Raw genomic sequence first — 22,915 nt, forward strand, 5'->3', positions numbered from 1 at the left:
GATTCCATTGGGACTCTGGGCCTTTTATTATTTTTGAGCTATTTTTCAAGCCTGTAAGTTCTAGAATATTGAGAACACTGCAAATGATTCATGTCCTTAGAAAAATGGAAATTGTCTAGTAGAGGTGCAGTTGATTGTTGCCCTATGGACATTGACCAATTTGAGCAAATTCATTTTAACTTTTATTCAGCCTGTATATGTGTCTGCTCTTTGGATTTTCCTCTAGACCAGTTGTAATATCTTACTGGTTTCCTCAGTAATTAATGAGCTAAATAACATCTTTGGTACATGTTCATTTTGTATTTGTTTGAGAGTCCTGAGCTTACCCTTTTTTTTCCCAGCTAAGTTTGCTAAGGATTACCCTTAACAAAAATTGTCCTTTAACAAGCAAAAAACACCTTAATTCAGTGAACAAAGTTAGCATCATTAATAATAGACACATTTTTAAAATGTGCCTCCTGGCTGGGCACAGTGGCTCACGCCTGTAATCCCAGCACTTTGGGAGGCGGAGGTTGGTGGATCACCTGAGGTCGGGAGTTCGAGACCAGCCTGACCAACCTGATGAAACCCCGTATGTACTAAATTAAAAAATTAACTGGGAGTGGTGGCACCCGCCTGTAATCCCAGCTACTTGGGAGGCTGAGGCAGGAGAATTGCTTGAACCTGGGAGGCGGAGTTTGCAGTGAGCCGAGATTGTGCCATTGCACTCCAGGCTGGGCAACAAGAGCAAAACTCCTTCTCAAAAACAAACAAAAAAAAAGTGCCTCCTGATGTGATATATATAAAGCATACATCACCTGTGTAGTATTCTTAATCAAGCTTTTAGATCTAACTTCCTCTTTACAAATTAACTGCAAGAAGAGAAACAATCTGAGTGTTATGACACAGAAATAATTATACAAAGTTAGAATGTGAGACATGCTACAAAATATTTGATCATTCTCTTCCAAAAGTCAATGTCATCAAATAAGAAAAAAGGTCTGGTCAGGTGCGGTGGCTCACGCCTGTAATCCCAGCACTTTGGGAGGCCGAGGCGGGCAGATCACCTGAGGTCAGGAGTTCGAGACCAGCCTGGCCAACATGGCGAAACCCCGTCTTTACTAAAAGTAAAATCCCAGCTACTCAGGAGGCTGAGGCGGGAGAATCGCTTGAACCCAGGAGGTGGAGGTTGCAGTGACCTGAGATCGCACCACTGCACTCCAGCCTGGGCTACAAGAGCAAGACTCTGCCTCAGAAAAAAAAAAGAAAAATGAAGGTCTAAATTTTAAAAGGCTGAAGAGATGTAAGTTCAAGACAGTCAATGATCCTTGACTGAATTCTTACTGTTAAAAAAGAAAGAAAGAAAGAAACAGCGATAAAAGGTAATTTTTTTTTTTAATCTGTCACGCAGGCTGGAGTGTAGTGGCTATCTCAGTTTACTGCAAGCTCCACCTCCTGGGTTCATGCCATTCTCCTGCTTTAGACTCCTGAGTAGCTGAGATTACAGGCACCCGCCACCATGCCTGGCTAATTTTTTTGTATTTTTAGTAGAGACGGGTTTTCACCATGTTAGCCAGGTTGGTCTCAATCTCCTGACCTCGTGATCCGCCCACCTCAGCCTCCCAAAGTGCTGGGATTACAGGCATGAGCCACCATGCCTGGCCTTACAAAAGGCAATTTTTAAGCAATTGAAGACATTTGCAAAGGAAATCGGTATTAGGTAATAGTAAGAAATTATTGCTCATTTTCTTACATTTATAGTATTGTTGTGGATACATAGGAGAAAGTTATTTATTTAGAGATTGCTATGGTCTGAATGTTTGTGTCTCCCCAAAATTTATATGTTGAAATCCTAAACCCCAGTGTGATGGTGTGAGGAAGTGAGGTTGTTGGGAGGTGATTTGGCCATGAATACTCCACACTATAAGGGATTAGTACCTTTATAAGAGACTCCAGAGAGCTCCCTTTCCCTTTCTACCATGTGAAGACACAGCAAAGAGATGGCTCTCTATGAAACAGGAAGAAGGCACTCACCGAATCTTCTTGATCTTGGATTTCCCAGCCACCAGAACTGTGAGAAATAAATTTCTGTTGTGTATAAGCCATACAATCTATAGTATTCTGCTAGAGCAGTGCAAAGGAACTAAGAAAGAAAAAAAATTTTTTTTTTAAGACAGAGTCTCCCTCTGTCACCCAAGCTGGAGTACAGTGGTGCGATCTCAACTCACTGCAACCTCCACCTCCCGGGTTCAAGCAATTCTCCTGTCTTAGCCTCCCAAGTAGCTGGGATCACAGGCGTGCGCCATCACTCCTGGTGAACTAAGACAGAGATTAATGCTAAAGTTTTCAGAAGTGAAGTATCACGATATCTGTACTTTAACACAGTGCAGAAATGAAGCAAATGTGGCAAAAGGTTAATGATTTTTCAAACTAGTTGGTAAGTACAAGGATGTTCAGTTTCCTGTTCTTTCTGCTTTGTTTTCTCTTTTGTTGTTTTTTTTTTTTTTTTTAGAGATGGGGTTTTACGATGTGGCCCAGGCTGGAGTACAGTGGCTATTCAAAGACTCAACTGAGTCTAGCTCACTGCAGACTGCATAGCACACTGCAGCATTGAATTCCTGGGCTCAAGTGGGCCTCCTGCCTCAGCCTCCTGAGTAGCTGGGACTAACTTTGCTCTATTTTTGAAATACCCATAATAAATAATGAGAATAAAATGAATCTTTATGTATGGAAGCTCCATGGACATCTCATTGAAAACAACATTGACTTACAAAGGTAGCTTCATTCATATTTGTTTCCTTTTTTTTTATTCACCCTTCATAATACCCCAATTTCATAATGGAACTTTATGAAAATTAATGGTGATCAGACCGGGCACAGTGGGTGGCTCACGCCTGTAATCCCAGCACTTTGGGAGGCTGAGGCAGCGGATCACTTGAGGTCAGGAGTTTGAGACCAGCCTGGCCAACATGGTGAAACCCCATATCTACTAAAAATACAAAAATTAGCAAGGTGTGGTGGCAGGTGCCTATAATCCCAGCTACTGGAGGGGGCTGAGGCAGGAGAATCGCTTGAACCCGGGAGGCGGAGGTTGCAGTGAGCCAAGGTTGCACCACTGCGCTTCAGCCTGGGTGACAGAGACAGACTCTATCTCAAACAAAACAAAACAAACAAAAAAGAAAATGAATGGTGATCAACTCATAATGATATAATAATCTGTATTCAATTTCATTAATAACTTTTAAGTGATACGCCCATCTAACAGCAACCTAGTGACAGGAGTGGCCATGGTCTATTAATTCCTGAGTATCAAATAATTAAATGAAAATTCAATATTTTTGTTTGTTTTCTTTTTACTTTTCCATGAGCTTTCAACTCTGAAAAAACATTCTATTAAATTAGACAAAACCTATGTATGTAAAAAAGTTCAAGTGGACTGCTCCCCAGAGTCAAATAAGTCATATATGGCCCTGGGGCCCAGGGTATTTTTCAACCACATAATTGTAATAGACAGAAATATAGGCACTGGAAGATCAAATCTTATAGCTAGTGGCAGAATTGAAACCAGAATATTTAGGTATTCTGAATACCAGGTATATTTATTACTCAGTGGCCCTCAACAGGTGGGCCCCCACCTAGGGAACACTTGGACATGTGTTATAGATGGGAATGTTTTGGGTTGTCATAATGACTGAGAGTTGCTTATGGCAATTAGTACCTAGAGGCTATGGATGCTAAAAGTGAGGCAATTTCAGAGAAAGTCTCACACAATAAAAAACGAAACAAAACAAACTGTCCTAATTCAAATGCCACTAACTCAACTTCCCCCATCACATCACCACACACTGAGAAATTGCTACCCAAATACAACTTAATGTCAATTTGGCTGATTAAAGGCATAATGTAATAATGAAGAAAATTCAAAACAGACAGACAAAAGACAATTTCTTTTTAGGCATTGATATTTTTAAGAATCAAATTTCACCAGGCACAGTGGCTCATGCCTGTAATGCCAGCACTTTGGGAGGCCGAGGCAGGTGGATCGCCCAAGCTTGGGAGTTTGAGACCAGCCTGGCCAGCATGGTGAAACCCCATCTCTACTAAAAATACAAAAATTAGCCGGGCGTGGTGGCAGGCGCCTGTAATCCCAGCTACTTGGGAAGCTGAGGCAGGAGAATCGCTTGAACCCGGGAGGCAGAGATTGCAGTGAGCCGAGATCGTACCACTGCACCTCCAGCCTGGGCAACAGAGTGGGACTCCATGTCAAAAAAAAAAAGAATCAAATTTCATTCCCACTGATAGTTGTTTCCTGTTTGTGTTAAACTTTACTTGGATTTTTAAGTCAAACATCAATGAAAGAATTATGACATCCTGAAGTACACTGAAGAAATCTTGAGATTAAAACTAATTCACATGAAACTTACATGTTGGCATAAGCTGAGAACCAAAATTAAAATGAACTGAACTAATTTACTAAGGAGCAAAAGCAATAAAACAAACAAAAGCAAAATTTTAAAAACCAATATAGTGAGCTCATTTGACTTGAAAGTGAAACTCCTTTTGTTTTCCAAACTCAGCGAACTGGAAGGGAAAAAAGAACCATAATATACTCAAAGCAAACCAATATTTAATTCTTTTCAAGACCATCTCAGTGAACAATATGTGTCAAAGAGCTGTGGTTAATTGAAATCCCTGACTGTACTGTATATTGCAGACCTCAGTACTTTTTTTTTTTTTTTTTTTTTTTTTTTAAACAAGGTCTCTTTCTATTGCCTAGGTTCCAGGCTGCAGCCTCACCCTCCCAGGATTAAACAATCCTCTCACCTCAGCCTCCTGAGCAGCTGGGACTACAGGTGCATGCCACCACGCCTGACTAATTTTTAAACTTTTTTGTGGAGACAGGGTCTCACTATGTTACCCAGATTGGTCTCGAAACTCCTAGGCTCAAGTGATCCTCCCACCTCAGCCTCCGAAAGTTCTGGGATTACAGGCATGAGCCACTGCACCTGGCCTTCTTTACTCTTAATAGTAATATAGCTATCACCTTTTGCTCTTATCTTGCCAACCAGTGTTTAGCAGATATACTTTAACTGATTTTAGAGGTAAATATATGGAAACAGAGAATGCATAAAATGTTACAGAATACACTTTGTGGTCCTGAAATGCTGTGGGATATCCATTAATTTAACTCTTGCCTGAGTACCTGCTATGTGCCAGATTCTATCCAGCACTGTGGTAGGTACTAGAAATAAAGTGTCTTTCTTTTCTTTTTTCTTTTTTTTTTTTTGGAGACAGAGTTTTGCCCTTGTCCCTCAGGCTGGAGTGCAATGGCGCGTTCTCTGCTCACTGCAACCTCCACCTCCTTGGTTCAAGCGATTCTCGAGCCTCAGCCTCCCGAGTAGCTGGGATTACAGGCGCCTGCAACCACGCCCGGCTAATTTTTGTATTTTTAGTAGAGACGGGGTTTCACCATGTTGGGTTTCACAATATTGGCCAGGCGCAGTGGCTCAAGCCTGTAATCCCAGCACTTTGAGATTACAGGCCAAGGCGGGCGAATCACCTGAGGTCAGGAGTTCGAGACCAGCCTGGCCAACACGGTGAAACCCCGTCCCTACTAAAAATACAAAAAACTGGCGCAGGCAGTGCTCGCGGCAGCAGCGGCGGCGGTGGGAGGTTCGGTTGTCGCCCGTTGACACTCGGCGGCCGCCATTGCAATTTGTTTTCACTTGCTTTTTAAAGACAGAAAGCTCATGGTGCAAATTGTTATTTCCTGGGAATCCCTGCGCTGATCGTGTGGCATCATATCCTGAATGGGAAAATCATCCCCCCCGGAGAAAGCTTTTGCAGTCCCTGTCAAACACACTCCTGGATATCAGGACTGTGATGAGCTTGGCCGCAAGACTGGCACTTGGTACCTGGTGAGAGCACTCATCAAAGACAAGATCCTTTTCAAAACCTGCCCCAAGCCCATTATCACCAACGTCCCCAAGAAAGTATGAAAGAGCTCGGATTTTCCCTAGAGAGCGGCCAACTCCTTGGACTGGTGCTCCGCTGCCACCTCAAGGATGGCTGGACGGTTCCCTGGGACGACAGGGGGGTCCTGTTCTGAACACAGGCCACCCACTGGGTGTGAACTCGGATCCCTTCCTTATGGCGGCTGGTTTTCTTGGTGGAAATCTGGCCCCATTTCCAAGGAACTCATCTCCTTTTCCAGCTTCATCAGGCTCATTGGCTTCAAATCCAGCACCTTTCCCGGCTGGTGCTCGTGACCCAAGCATGGCTTCTTTTCCAAGAGGGATGAATCCCACTGGCACAGGTGCAGTTTCTTTCCCAAGGCCTGGTGGCTTCTTGGGGCCAGGCCCGGGACGAGGCCCCACCCTAAACCCTAGGACAGGGGCTCTTCCAGGCCTGGGGCCTCTGTCTAATCCCAGGTTAGGGGGTCTCCCAGGACCAGGTCCTATATCCAACCTAAGGGCAGGTAGTCTCCTGGGAGCAGGTCCTGACCCCAGAAGTGGTGGTCCCATGGGCCCTGGATCTGGACCTAACCTGAGAGCAGGTGTTCTGTTGACTTCTGGGAATGGTCCTCCCAATCCTTGGCCAGTTGGCCTGGGCCCAGGACCAAACCCCAATCTGAGATCAGGCTTTTTAGGGACAAACCCTGCCCCCACGTTAGGTGTGTTTCCAAGACCAAGTGGCCTGGGCCTGGGCCGTAATCTAGATGCCAGAGCAGGTGGCCTCTTGGGCACAGGACCTGGTCTTAAGAATAGCTGGACCTCAAGGCCTCGATCTTTTCCCCATTCTAAGAGCGGCAGGTCTTTTAGGAGCAAATTCAGCTTGTCACAGGCTTCTGGAAACATGGGCACAAGCCCGTCTTCCATGGCAAGAGTACCTGGCCCCATGGGTCCAAACTTGGGTCCTGGCCCTCGGGAAATTGGCCTTCCAGGGCCAAATCCATCTCCCATGTCAAGGGCTCCTGGCCCCATAGGCCCTAATTCAGCTCATTTCTCAAGGCCAGGGGGCCCCATGGGGGTAAATGCCAATCCCTTTCCCAGGGGAGCGGGTTCATCTGCCTTCTCTCAGTCTTCTGGCACATTGGCATCAAACCCAGCTATCTTCCAAAGGTCTGCTGGCCTCCAGGGCTCAAATCCAACAGTTTTCCCAAGAGCCTCTGGGCCACTTGGCCCCAACCCAGCTAACTTCCCAAGGGCCGCTGGCCTGCAGGGTCCAAGTCTGACTACCTTCCCAAGGTCTACTGGCCCATTAGGCTCTGGTCAAGTTACTTTCTCCAGGTCAGCTGCCGGGCACCTGGGCTCTTCTCCAGCAGGCCCTGTGGGTACCAACCCAGCTCCTTTCGCAAGGCCAACTGGGACCCTGGGTCTCAACCCGGCTTCCTTTCCAAGGATGAATGGCCCTGCAGGCAAGAGTTTGGTCCCATTTCCTAGAGTGGGGAGCCTCCCTGGCACAAACCCAGCTGCTTTCCCCAGACCAGGGGGTCCAATGGCTGCAGTGTACCCAAATGGAATGTTACCCCCTTAAACACCTTTTTCCCTCCAGGACCACCTTAGTTTCTAGGCACTGTGGTTCTCAGCAGTGGCTGTCTCTTAGGTAAAAGGGTGGAGCTACAGTCTGAAGAACATAGCTGGGGCTCAAGTTCAAATGAGCCATCTTTTTCCTCTGCGTTTTTCTTGACTGAAGGTGAGCTGTTATTTGTGGCACATGAACTGTGGCAGGTGAGAATAATCCTGGCCTTGAGAGAAAGGATCTCCAGCCTCCCAGAAGCCTGCTGTGCTTTCATCCCACAGCTTTCTGCCCATTGTTTCTTACTAGTTTCTTGAATTGTTCTTGTGAACTTTTCCCCAGGGATACATTGGCCTACGGGTCCCAGTTCACATGTAGTCCCCTGCTCACCGTTGGAGAATCAGCTCACTGCTCTCTAGAAACGTGGCATTGGTGAACTGACCATTCTTCCATAGCTCTGACCTGGGCAGCTTGGAACTGGTCATCCTCAACTGCCATACCTTTCCCTGGGGGCTTGAACACAGAACAGGGAGATGGACAACCACTTCAAAGACCCACCAAATGCAGTTTCTGCTTGACTGACTGGGCCTGTAGCTCCCTTCTCCTGGGACTTAGGAGTAGCCGGATTTAAGGCTCCTCTACCCATCCAGCTCCCTCTTCACTGGTACTCCCAATCAAAGAACCTCAAAATTTAAACTGATGTGGATGGGTATATGGGAATTGGGGTGAGGGTGGGGGAAGGAAGGGAAGAAATCACTGTGCTTCGTTCAGCCTGGTGTGAAAGGATGGTTGGTGGTTTTCCTGCGTTGTATCTTTTCTTACTGTTTCTTTAATAAATGGGATGAGAGGGCAAAAGAAAAAAAAAAACACTTAGCCAGGCATAGTGGTGCACGCCTGTAATCTCAGCTACTCGGGAGGCTGAGGCAAGAGAATTGCTTGAACCCAGGAGGCAAAGGTTTCAGTGAGCCAAGATTGTGCCACTGCACTCCAGCCTGGGTGATACAATAAGACTCTGTCACAAAAAAAATAAAAAATAAAAAATAAAAATAAAAATAAATAAATAAAAATAAAAATAAATAAATCAGCATATCATGGTGGATCACAGACCACATTCTGGTCTCAGGGAGATCTGGGTTCAAATCCAGCTCTACCAGCTCATGACTATGAGTTATAGCCAGATAAAAATAGAAGATACAGGATAAAATAGAATATTTAAGGAATTCAGAGCCCAATTAGAGGTAAAGAGAGTTTAGTCTGCCACTTGAGTAGGGTTGCAGATTTCTAGTTAACCCAATCAGGTAACTAAAACTTTATAGCTAAAAGGTATGGCCTTATGCCCTCCCATGAGCAAAGTGGCTATTTTTTAAAAAAGGGGGTTCCTCACTTTTGCTATGAATAAAATTATTGTGACTAATTTTGTAAGAAAAATATGATATGGTTCATTAGTTTTTTAAAACCAAGTTTATTGACATAACAATAAACTGCCTCTATTTAAAGCATAAATTTTAGGTCCAGGAGCGGTGGCTCAAGCCTGTAATCCTAGCACTTTGGGAAGCTGAGGCAGGTGGATCTCCTGAGATATGGAGTTTGAGACCAGCCTGGTCAACATGGCTAAAAACCATCTCTACTAAAAATACAAAACTTAGCCTGGTGTGGTGGCACGTGCCTGTAGTCCCAGCTACTTGGGAGGCTGAGGCAGGAGAATTGCTTGAACCTGGGGGGTGGAGGTTTCAGTGAGCCAAGATCGTGCCACTTCACTCCAACCTGGGCAACAGAGCGAGACTCCAACTCAAGAAAAAAGAAAGTGTAAGTTTTGATATATGTATATACTCTTAAATTCATGTCTGCCCTCAAGGTAATGAACATGTCTATCCCCCTATGGTGGTCTCTCTCTTCTCCTTGAACCCCCATCTGCTTTCTGTCACTACAGATTAGTTTGCATTTTCTAGAATTTAATATAAAAGGAATTAAGTGGTGTGGATTCCTTTTTGATTGGTCTCTTCCATGTAGCATAATGATTTTGAGATTCATCCCTGTTGCAGTGTGTATCAGTAGTTCTTTCTTTTTTATTGCTGAGTAATATTCCATTGTATCAGTACATCACAATTTGTCTGTTGATCTGTTGATGGACATTCGGTTTGTATGCAGTTTTGGGCTATTACAAAGAAAGCTGCTATGAACATTCATGTAAAAAAAAAAGCAGGGGTTTCCTGTGTACCCTGTGACTAAGATAGAATAATTCAGGAAGCATGAGTCTCTTAAATCCTATGTCTGGGTCTTGAATTTCTAACTATACAAACACATCCTGAGGGGAAAAGCCACCTTCTGACTTCAGCTCAATTTACCTGATATAGTAAATCTACTACCCTTATTTGGGTAAGTGACTTTTCAACCCTGGGGAGAATTTAGAATGATATGATGAAGTAAATAGCCATAGTAGAAACACTTTTTATAAATTAAAAACAATTTCTTTGTAATGTTTAAGAGAATCTAGCATTTTAGGAAATCTGTTAGATTAGCCTTCAGCAATTGATTTTGACTTGTAATTTCACATAGATAAGTATAAGAGATTTTCACAAGCATATTAACAGTATTGAAATGTTTATGAAAGCTCAAGATTCAACAAATTTATAGGCTTAATTTATTATCTTCACCAGAGTCATTTAACCAACTGGTAGAATTTTGTTTGTTAGGATTATACTTACGCCTTGTCAGGCAATTGAAGGGCTCGAAAAGTTCAAATATATTAAATTTATGAGTGTAGTTTAAAAAGGGGAAATAAATAAGTTTATAAATTGGATTGTTTAAAGTGATTTTAATCTGCTTGAACTGTGTTGACTATTAATCAAAGAATAAATGAAAGTAATTGCTCTTATTTTATACAATTACAAGATTTATAAATAGCATAACTAATAATATTCATAAATTGTGTTTAACACTTTAAAAAAACTAAATGTGCAAGTTAGAAATTGCATATTATTATAAAACCCAAGTAACTATAGGTAGTCCAAGAAACCCCTAGTTATGTCACCTTTGGATGAGCTTCAGTAGCCTCATCTGGAAAATTTCTAGAGTGTTTGTGGAGACAATTAAATAAGATAATATGTCCAAATCACTTAGTCCAGTATCTCTCATAAGGTTTCACTTGACAGATCATTCTACATTTAAAAGCCTTCAAAAATATGAATGTAGGCTGGATGCGGTAGCTCATGCCTGTAATTCCAGCACTTTGGGATGCCGAGGTGGGCGGATGACTTGAGGTCAGGAGTTCGAGACCAGCCTGGCCAACATGGTGGAACCCCATCTCTACTAAAATTACAAAAAAAATTAGCTGAGCATGGTGGCGAGGGCCTATGATCCCAGCTACTCAGGAGGCTGAGGCAGGAGAATTGCTTGAACCCGGGAGGCAGAGGTTGCAGTGAACAGAGATCACACCACTGCACTCCAGCCTGGGCAACAGAGGGAGACTCCATCTCAAAAAAAAAAAAAAAAAAAAGAGAAAGAAAGAAAGAAAGGATTTAAATATGTGGATTCACCATCAGGTAGAAGAGGAGCCAAATGCATTCTGTAATGACCTGGAGAATGGAGCTGGTAATACCATGAAGATGGAGACTACAACAATACAGGTCCACAGATGCTGGGTACTTAACTACGTTCCAGGCACTGTAATTAGTGCTTTACATAGATTATTTCATTTATTTGTCGCAATGTACTGGTATCATTGGGGTTTGATCAGAGAAGCAGAACCACTGTGAGTTAAATAAGAAATTTAGCTTACAGATCAGACCTTACGAATATTGAGAGCTGTGTAGTTTGTGTATAGCTCTTGCTTCTGCATCGGATTTTCGGCCTGAAGTCAGCATCTGCAGGAGTTGGGAAGGGAAAATGGGTGTAAAGTGGAAGATAGCAAGAAAGAGCTGAAACTCACATCTGTCTCTCATCAGAACTTACATTGGTCACATTGGTATCACATTGGAATCTTCGTCGGTCTCTCACTGTCTCTAAGCCTCCGACTTTAAAGATGCCAGTGACCTGTAGAGGAGCTGGCACACTTCACCACAGAACTTCACACAGAGTTGGCCCAGGATCCAGAGATACTGAAGAAGAGCTGGCCAGGGCTGGAAGAGCTGCAGGCCCAGTTGGTGCCCTACATGAATAATGCAAACCAGATCTGTGCTGATGTAGGGAAACTACAACAGCAGTGGCCCTATACCCTACTTCCTGCCTTACTTCTGCCCTCCAGTTTCCCCTGTGGTCAACTCTAACCCAGCACCAAACAAGGAAGGGAATTCTGGGAATCTTAGTTCCAACTTAGCTAAATTGATACAATGCAAAGCTACGGTTATCCCCATTTTACAGAGAAACAAACTGGCTTAGAAGGTTAAATAACTTGCACAAGAGCACACAGATGGTAAGTGGGAGAGCAGGAACATGAACAAAGACAGTCTGGCTCAGAACCGGAATCTTGACCACTGCCCTCTACTGCCTTTCCCTAATGCGTGAAAATTAGAAGAAAGCAGCCAGACTCGGTGACTCAGGCCTGTAATCCCAGCACTTTGGGAGGCCAAGGCAGGTGGATCACCTGAGGTCAGGTGTTCGAGACCAGCCTGGCCAACATGGCAAAGCCCCATCTCTACTAAAAATACAAAAACTTAGCTGGGCATAGTGGCATGCACCTGTAATACCAGCTACTCGGGAGGCTGAGGCAGAAGAATCACTTGAACCCAGGAGGCGAAGGTTGCACTGAACCAAGATTATGTCACTGCACTCCAGCCTGGGCAACAGAGCAAGACTCTGTCAAAAAAAAAAAAGAAAGAAAGAGAAAGAAAGAAAGAAGAAAGAAAGAAAGAAGGAAAGAAAGAAAGAAGGAAAGAAAAAGAAAGAAAAAGAAAGAAAGAAAGAAAGAAAGAAAGAAAGAAAGAAAGAAAGAAGGAAAGAAAGAAAGAAAAAAGAAGGAAAGAAGGAAAGAAACAGAAAGGAAGAAGGAAAGAAAGAAAACGAAATTTAGAAGAAAGCAAGTTTCAGCTCAATGGCAAAATGATCAGTTTAGCAGTATGAGCTAGCCCACGGTGGAACAAGCTGCTTTGCAAAGCAGAGGGTTCCCTGTCCTAGATGATGCTCAAACACAGGCTGGGTGGCCATCTGTCAGAGATATTACACAAGAGGGTACCCACTGGGAGGGAGAATGAACTATGTGGCTACTCACAGCACTTTCAACTCCAAGATTCTACGTTTCTAGAACATATAGTTCAGGGAAAGGGCTGGAACTCACAGCGTACAAGGAACATAACAGAAGGGACGGAGAAGACAGAAATGCTCAAGGGTGGGCTGGAAAGAGACTTAGCCAAGCTGTGCCAAACGGTGCCAAAATTCACTGTGAGAAAAATAAAAATTATAGTCAACCCAAGAATTGTTTTTCACACACATGGTACCACATTAAAAAAAGAAAAAAAAACTCTTTAGTGGTGTTTTTTTTTTAATTCCATTAATTGACTTGATCTCACTGAATTGACAGGCCATTTTTGTTGTTGTGTAGGTGTGATCTTTAAAAGACCTGTGGAAAGACTGCAAATTAAGACATGCTATCCATTGACTCTTTAAAATGAAAGTTTAATCAATTGAGGGCATGACAAAAAGTTTGAAGCAAATATCCAGATACTTCAGAGAATGGCTTAGAAAAGAATTTTCACATTTGAATCTCTGCCAACATAAACACATAATAGTGAACCTTATGTCTCGGTTACAGTTTAAAAAATTAAAAGAAAAAGGCAGTGACTACTCCAATGTTTCTGTAGCTGATGCATCCTAATAGCATCTTTCCAAAGCAGATATTACAATAATTTTCTTTTCTCCCCTCAAATTCTACACAAGCTGGTTCACCAGCTATACACATTGGAGGTCATGAAAAATCAAGGTAAAGTTGTTAGATGAAATTGACTTCTCACCAAAAAAATTGCAAATCTGTAAAGTTTATGGAATAATAAAATCTTAAAGCCAATAGATATAAATGAAATCCCATGAGAAAGGTTATTGCAAGCCGGGCGTGGTGGTTCACACCTGTAATCCCAGCACTTTGGGAGGCTGAGGTGGGTGGATCACGAGGTCAAGAGATTGAGACCATCCTGGCCAACATGGTGAAACTCTGTCTCTACCAAAAATACAAAAATTAGCCAGGCGTGGCAGCACGTGCCTGTAATCCCAGCTACTCAGGAGGCTGAGGCAGGAGAATCGCTTGAACCCGGGAGGCAAAGGTTGCAGTGAGCCAAGATAGAGCCACTGCACTACAGCCTGGCGACAGAGCAAGACTCCACCTCAAAAAAGAAAAAAAGAAAGATTATTGCAGTGTAGCAGATGTCTCTCTCCACCCTTCTCTGCCTGCTCTCTACCCAGGTGGCTGACTTGAATGGAGCACAATTAGTGGGCATCATTGTTCTCTGGTTTCCAGTGGGGTTTAGCCAATGCGCAGTCCCAGAAGATCAGAGGGAGGAAAGAGAGTCAAGTTATGGTATTTATTCTCCTAGCATTCTCCGTTCAAGGTCACCTTAGGCAACAGAAGATAGTGTTATTTATTTATTTATTTATTTATTTATTTTCGAGACAGAGTCTTACTCTGTTGCCCAGGTTGGATTGTAGTGGCGATCTTGGCTCACTGCAACCTCCACCTCCTGGGTTCAAGTGATTCTCCTGCCTCAGCCTCCCAAGTAACTGGGATTACAGGCATGAGCCACCACGCCCAGCTAATTTTTGTATTTTTAGTAGAGATGGGGTTTCACCATGTTGGTCAGGCTGGTCTCGAACTCCTGACCTCAGGTGATCCGCCCCCCTTGGCCTCCCAAAGTGCTGGGATTACAGGCGTGAGCCACCACACCTGGCCAGATAGTGTTGTCCTTAAGGCATCTCTCTCTCTCTCCACCTCTCTCTCTTTCTCATCCCATTGTTAGTATAAACGGTAAAGGCCCTCCACTGTTAAGAGACTCAGGGGACTACACTCTCCTCTGTGGCCTCCCTACTCCCTGCCCCACACCTTTGTAAGCAGTCGGTTATTAAACCCTCCTCAAATTATGTTAATTAGAGAATGCCTTCTGTTTCTTGCTGGGCCCCTGACTGATACACACAGAATTATTAAAATACTAGTAATTGTCAGATCTCAGCATTAGTGCTATGTCCACCATTTTCAGAAAGTTAGATTCTCACATTTCTTTTTTTAATGTCTCTTAAACATTTTTTCACAAAGATTCTCACATTTCTATTTCTGAAAATTCTAATTATGAGTGAGACGGTTACACCTAGAGTTTGGTGTTGTTAATATTTCACACTCTGGAGCCAGAATGCCTGGGTTGAATCTCAGCTCTAACACATACTAGTTCTGTAATTTGGGCAAATCATCTAACCCAGTGATTCTCAACCTGGGGGTAGTTTTGCCCCTCAGGGAACATTTGGCAATGTCTGCAGACATTTGGATTGTCACAACTGGGGTGGAGAGGTGTTGTTATGGCACCTAGTCATGGATAGACAACAGAGATGTTGCTAAACATCATACAAATGCACAGGACAGCCCCCCACCACAAAGAATTACATGGTCTGAAATGTTAATAGTGCCAATAGGTTGAGAAACCCTGATGTGACCCTTCTGTGCCTCCATTTCCTAATCTATAAAGTGCAGTTAACATTAGCACATACCTCATGGGATTGTCTGAGGGTTCAGTAAGCTAATACATGCAAAGCACTTAGAACAATGCCTGGGATATAGTATGCACTCAATAAATGTAAGCTGACATTGTCATCTTCACCATCATTATCAGGCTCTCTAGATCTCCTAGTACAAAGAGGACTTGCTCAAAGGCGGGCAGTTAGAAATTCATTATGAAAGACAATTCACTAAAGCACTGCAAAAGCGGAGCTCTTGTCTGGCTTTATTCTACTGTATCCTCTGCACCTTAGTGTCTAGCATCTATTTTATTTGTTGAATATATTGCACTGACTAGAATTCCTTACAAACACACAGTAGGTGCTCAATGGTAGTGGTGGTTGTGGTGGTTGTAATGGATTTCATGAAAGTATGTCTTTGGAGCTTGAAAACAAGAACCAGTGGGTATCTTCTTTCACTTTCTTGCTCAAATCTTTTTAATTTTGTTCAACAACTGTTCAACAACTCAAGGCCAAGAAGAAATTCACAGATAAGTTACATGATTTCTAAAATTGCAGAATGCATATTTATATTTTCCACATATTTTAAAAAGGTATTGATTTAGAATTATCTTAAGTGGCACTTTTTAAATTTTTTTATTTTTACCTTGCTTCAGTCCAATGGAAGAATTAGAGTTGGATGACAATGTCTAAAAATTAAGCAAGATGATAAGGCAAAAGCGAAAATGAGGGTAGAAAAAAATAGATGAAGCAAAGAGTTAGGTTAGAACCCCCCAAAATACCCTGTAAGAATCTAGCCCCCTGCTAGAAGGTCAAAAATTTGGCAGGTAAATGCAGAGAGTAACACCTGACCCATCACGTATTTTGCACATTCATACAGTAAAGAACTACAAGAAAAGAACAATTATTCTTTGTAATGAAACATGAAAGTTCTCCCTACACAGAGGCTACTGAAATGATATTAATCTCTTCAGTGGCGTCTTTATAGGGAAGTCAATAGTTTATGGGACTATTCTTTATAGTGTCCTGCAGTGTACACCAAAGATATGATGCTGAAGCACAGTCCAATAAAAGTAACTCTACAAAAGGGTAAAACGACACAATTTGGGTATAAATCTTTCTAGTAGTCTCCCCTAGTCCTGGGCTAACAGAGCGCTGTAAGGAATGGCCAAGAGCACTGTAAAGAATGGCCTCCCCAAGCTGAGCTGCTCACACACAAGCTCAGGTACGGCTGTACCTGAGCAGGACGATCTGGGTGGCAGACAAGTGCAGACACATGGTCTTTAGTGTCCGCTGAGCAGGCGATCAAGCTGACACAGCTTGTGGAAATTGAGGAGCTTAATGATGACAAAACACATTTCACATTTATGAGCTATTTTCTTGTGCCAGTCATTGTCCCAAGGGTCTTAGAAATATAAGCCATTAGGGCCGGGTACAGTGGCTCACGCTGTAATCCCAGTATTTTAGGAGGCTGAGGCAGGTGGATCTCTTGAGGCCAGGAGTTCAAGACCAGCCCGGCCAACATGGTGAAACCCCGACTCTACTAAAAATACAAAAATTAGCTGGGCGTGGTGGGGTATACCTGTAGTCCCAGCTACTTGGGGGGCTGAGGCGGGAGAATCCCTTGAACCCAGGAGGTGGAGGTTGCAGTGAGCTGAGATGGCACCATTGCACTCCAGGCTGGGTGACAGTGAGACTCCGTCTAAAAAAAAAAAAATATATATATATATATGTATATGTATTCCTACAACTTCATGCTGAGAGTACAATTAGTAAATCTCTCATTTTGCAGATGAGGAGACTGAAAAGGTAAAGTAAATACTTGCAAAACGTTATCAAGCTAGTAAGTGACAGTACGAGGAATTGGGCACAGGCAGCTTACATGTATGAGGTCTATATCACATGCAGCCTAAGAAGGGACAACGCTTCCTCCTTGCCCCCACACTTTGCCAAGTGGTCTAGGCCTCCAAGGTCAACCCAAGTCCTACTTACCCCAAAGCATTGCCACTGGCTTGAGTCCACATCAATCTTTTACTCAGTTTTTGTTTGTTTGTTTGTTTGTTTTTTGAGACAGAATCTTGCCCTGTCACCCAGGCTGGAGTGTGGTGACTCACTGCAACCTCTGCCTCCTGGATTCAAACGATTCTCCTGCCCCAGCCTCCCAAGTAACTGGGATTACAGGCACCCACCACCACACCCGGCTAATTTTTGTATTTTTAATAGAGACGGGGTTTCACCACGTTGGCCAGGCTAGTCTCGAACTCCTGACCTCGTGATCCACCCACCTCGGCCCCTCAAAGTGCTGGGATTACAGACGTGAGCCACCACGCCTGGCCAGTTTTTTATTTCAAGAAAATCTGCATGCGCTGCAGGGGCAGGAAGGCAATTGTTGCGGCTCTCAGACAACAGTCTCTGCTTTCAAGAGGCAAAATGGGATCCCCAGACAATCCGGAGACTCCAGAATCTCAAAGCCTAACTGTCAGATTAGTGTCCCAAACAGGAGACGAGAGAAGGAAGACCTAGACGAATGAAAGCTATTGCATCGGGGCCTCCACATACAGGAGGGGTCTCCAGGTGGGCTGAGAAAGAAGGAAAGAAGGAGAGAAAGAAAGGGGAGCAGAGAAAGCCAACTTGGCAGGAGGCAATATACTGACTGAAGGCTTCCAAAACCATGTATGGCACAGTGCCAGGAACTATTCGAAGTGCTTTACACATATTAACATATTAATGTTCACCACCACCATGCATGAGATAGGGATTATTATCATTCACCTTTCATATGAAGAGAGTAAGCACAGATGGGTTAAGCAACTTGACCAAGGTCACACAGCTAATGATAGGCAGTCTGTCTCCAGAGTCATTGCTCCTAATATCTGTGCTGTACTGCTTCTCTAGAAGGAAAGCTTCCTGTAGTGGAGCATGCAGAAATGGTGATGGCAAGGTAAGTAAAAGCCAAGGCAATGGAGAGCCTTGGAGGCCAGATTAAGGAGTTGCTAATTATGGATGCTGTAAAGGGCAGAAAGTCAAGTGTCAGGAGACCTTCAAGCCAGAAGATCCCCAATATGGGTACCCTGCTATTGGGTCATGGGAACTATTGTTGCATAACAAACCATCTCCCAAATTAGTGGCTTAAAACAACCATTTATTTGTTCACAATTCTGCAGTTTGGCTAGAGATTGGCAAGGATGACATGTCTCTGCTCCATGTGATGTTATCTGGGGTCAGTCATATGGCTACACTAAGTTGGGAGCTTGACTAAAGCTGGAACATCCAAAATGGCCCCAAGTCATGTCTGGCGCCTCAGCCTGGGTGGCAGTAGTGACTGGACACCTGAGCTCTTCTCTATCTGACCTCTCTCTCTTCTTCCACGTGGTTGTGCATCATTCAGATGTCTAGCCCAAGCGTCTTTATGTAACAGCTGGCTTCTAAGAGGGTGACAGCTGAAGGTGCCAAGTTTCTTCAGGTCTAGGCTTGGAATTGGTACAGCATCACTGTAACCGCCCAAGGGGTTCACCTTGCTCGCTGCCTAGACAGAGCTGATTTATCAAGACAGGGGGATTGCAATACAGAAAAGAGTAATTCACCCCCAGCTGGCTGTGCGGGAGACTGGAGTTGTTTCTTTTTTTTTTCTTTTTTTTTTTTTTTTTTGAGAGGGAGTCTCGATCTGTTGTCCAGGCTGGAGTGCAATGGCATGATCTTGGCTCACTGTAACCTCCGCCTCCCAGGTTCCAGTGATTCTCCTGCCTTAGCCTCCTGAGTAGCTGGGATTACAGGTGCACACCACCACGCTCAGCTAATTTTTGTATTTTTAGTAGAGACAGGGTTTCACCATGTTGGCCAGGCTGGTCTCGAACTCCTCACCTCATGATCCACCCACCTCAGCCTCCCAAAGTGCTGGGATTACAGGCATGAGCCACTGCACCCGGCTGAGACTGGAGTTTTATTATTACTCAAATCAGTCTCCCCAAGCATTCCGGGAGCAGAGTTTTTAAGGACAACTTGGTGAGTGGAAGGAAGCCAGTGAGCTAGGAGTGCTGATTGGTCAGGGATGAAATCACAGGAAGTCAAAGCTGTCTTCTTGTGCTGAGTCAGTTCCTTGGTGGGGGCCGCAAGATCAGATGAGCCACTTTATCAGTCTGGGTGGTGCCAGCTGATCCATCCAGTTCAGGGTCTGCAAAATATCTCAAGCACTTATCTTAGGAGCAGTTTAGGGAGGGTAAGAATCTTGTAGCCCCCAGCTGCATGACTCCTAAACCATAATTTCCAATCTTATGGCTAATGTTAGTCCTACAAAGGCAATCTAGTCCCCAGGCAAGAAGGAGGTCTGCTTTGGGAAAGGGCTGTTATTGTCTTTGTTTTCTTTTTATTTATTTATTTGTTTATTTTTGAGACAGACTCTTGCTCTGTTGCCCAGGCTGGAGTGCAATGGCGCTACCTCGGCTCACCGCAATTTCCACTTCCCGGGTTCAAGCAATTTTCTGCCTCAGCCTCCTGAGTAGCTGGGATTACAGGTGCCCACGATCACACCTGGCTTTTTTGTATTTTTTTTTTTTTTTTTTGGTAGAGACAGGGTTTCATCATCTTGGCCAGGCTGGTCTTGAACTCCTGACCTTGTGATTCACCCGCCTTGGCCTCCCAAAGTGCTGGGATTACAGGCATGAGCCACCATGCCCAGCCTATCATCTTTGTTTTAAACTATAAACTATAACTAAGCCTTCTCCCAAAGTTAGTTCAGCCTATGCCCAGGAATGAACGAGGACTGCTTGGAGCTTAGAAGCAAGATGGAGTCGGTTAAGTCAGATCTATTTCACTGTCTCAGTCAATTTTGCAAAGGCGGTTTCATCACTTCTGCCATATTCTCGTGGCCAAAACAAGTCCTAAGGTCAGCCCATTTTTAAGGGGAGGTAAATAGACCTCAGTACTTGATGGGAAGTGCCGGAGGCACATAGCAGGATGGGCGGGATTGTTAGCAGCCATCTTTACAAACAATCCACCACGATGACACCAGAGATCTCTGGTTTTGTTGTTCTTGTTCCCCCTCTAATGCTCTGTCATAAATGACATTCTCTCCACAGATCCCCAGGACATCATAGCAACATTCCCTATGCACTTACTCTCATCCAAATGACATGTAAGCTAAGGAAATTGTATGTCCAGGGTGTCATCAGGGAAAGTCATTTTAGACATCGCAGGGCTCCCGTGGGAAAAAACTCCACTCAGGTCAAAAAGAACCAGAGCACCAAAGGTCACCAAGTACTCCATGGCTTGAGGTGATGGTACACTGCAAGGACTCTAATTTTCCTCCAGGAAATGAGTGGGTATACTGGGATTCTGTGGCAAAATCTTGCCACTCGCCCTTTCTGTAGACAGTTTTATTGGAGCACAGCCATGCTCATTCATTCAACTATTGTCTATGACTGCTTTAACATTTAAACAGCAGAGTTGAGTAGTAACGACAGAGACTGCACGGTCCATAACACCTAAAATATGTGCTGTCTGCCCCTCTACAGAAGAAGTTTACCAAGCATGGCACCAGGAATAATGGTCAGTAACTGTACTCTTTCTCAAACTTACTTTATTTCCAGAAATTACACTGACCCCAGGGCTCACATTTTAACTGGCAGTAATAGGCAATTCTTGGGCTGGTCCGTACAATTCCTTGAACAGGCAAGAGAATATAAAGCTTTCAGTAATAAAATGTTAAGGTGCTTTTAAAGTCAAATTAACTTGTGCCCTTAGCACTTTTAGAACCTACTTACAAGCCTTCACTGGCATACTCCCTCTATGCCAACGTCACATTCTTCCCAGAACAGAGAGTTGCAGTAGATTTTGAATGCTCAGAGATTATTTTTTTTAAATAGCAGGCAAATTGGTCATCCTCAGTGGATAATCACTGTGCCAATTCACAATCAAGAAAACCCGACAGAGCTCTCGAACTCTGCTGACTTAGTAGTACTTGAACTTTTTGAAAACTTCAAGGTAATTATAGAGGCCTGCCCTTTTGTCTTCACTTGCTTGTATACATGAAAGACTTTCAAAATACCTACTTTTTAAAACACATTTAATACTGTAAAATTGTGTTGTTTATGAGAAATGATTTTGACCACGTTTTCATATGCAAAATACAATCAAAAGATTAAATCCAACATACTGTTTCCCTGGAACCCTTGAAGTTTTGCTCCCATGCCTATCAAGAGTATATTTTTGAAATTTTATGTTTAAAAAGCTTTCAGGGAGCTCTTTCCTTTTGCTGCTGCGGCCACAGCCGTGAGTATACTCAGTCTTCAGAAGAGGCTCATCTCTAGTGTCCTCCACTGTGGCAAGAAGAAAGTCTGGTTGGACCCCAATGAGAACAATGAAATCGCCAATGCCAACTCCAGTCAGCAGATCCGGAAGCTGATCAAAGATGGGCTGATCATTTGCAAGCCTGTGACTGTCCATTCCCAGGCACGATGCCAGAAAAACACCTTGGCCTGCCGGAAGGGCAGGCACATAGGCATGGGTAAGCAAAAGGGTACAGTCAATGCCTGAATGTCACAGAAGGACACGTGGATGAGGAGAATGAGGATTCTGTGCAGGCTGCTCAGAAGATACCTTGAATCTAAGAAGACTGATTGCCACGTGTATCCCAGCCTGTACCTGAAGGTGAAGGGGAATGTGTTCAAAAACAAGCAGATTTTCACGGAACACATCCACAAGCTGAAGACAGACGAGGCCCACAAGAAGCTTCTGGCTGACCAGGCTGTGGCCCGCAGGTCCAAGACCAAGGAAGAACACAAGCACCATGAAGAGCGCCTCCAGGCCAAGAAGGAGGAGATCATCAAGACTTTGTCCAAGGAGGAAAAGATCAAGAAATAAAAGCTCCTCCTTTGTCTTTTCATACTGGCCTCCTTGATTACACAGATCAGCCATTAAAATAAAACAAGCCTTTATCTGCCTGGAAAAAAAAAAAGCTTTCAGCCGGACATGGTGGCTCATGCCTGTAATCCCAGCACTGTGAGAGGCTGAGGCAGGCAGATCACTTGAGCCCAGGAGTTTGAGACCAGCCTGGGCAACCTGGTGAAACCCCTTCTCTACTAAATATACAAAAAATTAGCTGGGCGTGGTGGTGCTCGCCTGTAGTCCCAGCTACTCAGGAGGCTGAGGTGTGAGGAAAGCTTAAGCCCAGGAGTTAGAGGCTGCAGTGAGTTATGATCACGCTACTGTACTCCAACCTGGGTGATAGAAAGAGATCCTGCATCCAAAGAAAAGGTTTCAAGGCCAGGTGAGGAAGCTCACGTCTGTAATCCCTTTGGGAGGCTGGGGTAAGAGGATCTCCTGAGCCCAAGAGTTCAAGAGTAGCCTGGGCAGCATAGCTAAACCTCATCTCTACAAAAAAAAAAAAAAAAAAAATTGCTGGGCATGGTGGTGCATGCCTGTAGTCCTAGCTACTTGGGAAGCAGAGGCGGGAAGATCACTTGAGCCCAGGAGTTAGAGACTGCAGTGAGTTATGATCATGCCACTGCACTCCAGCCTGGGTGACAGAGAGAGAACCTGTCTCAAAAAAAAAAAAAAAAAAAAAAAAAAAGGTTTTTAAACACACATACTCACTGACCCAGCAATTCCAACTCTAGAATTTTTTCTAAAGTTCATGATATGGTATAATTCAAGATTATTCACAGCAGAATTGTTTGTAATAGCAGGAAAGCTTAAGTAACCTAATATCCATCAATAAGGGACTGGTATTGTTATCAGTAGAAGGTGTCCAGGTTCTTGGCTTCTCGAACAAAGA

The 22,915-nt window shown here is 43.8% G+C and overlaps 2 pseudogenes; both read left to right on the top strand.

The window, feature by feature from the left end:
* On the top strand, positions 5,613 to 8,348 carry CHTF8P1 (chromosome transmission fidelity factor 8 pseudogene 1; annotated as a pseudogene).
* Positions 21,376 to 22,083, top strand: RPL19P20 (ribosomal protein L19 pseudogene 20; annotated as a pseudogene).

This window comes from Homo sapiens, chromosome X, assembly GCF_000001405.40.
Source record: "Homo sapiens chromosome X, GRCh38.p14 Primary Assembly".
Taxonomy (NCBI): domain Eukaryota; kingdom Metazoa; phylum Chordata; class Mammalia; order Primates; family Hominidae; genus Homo; species Homo sapiens.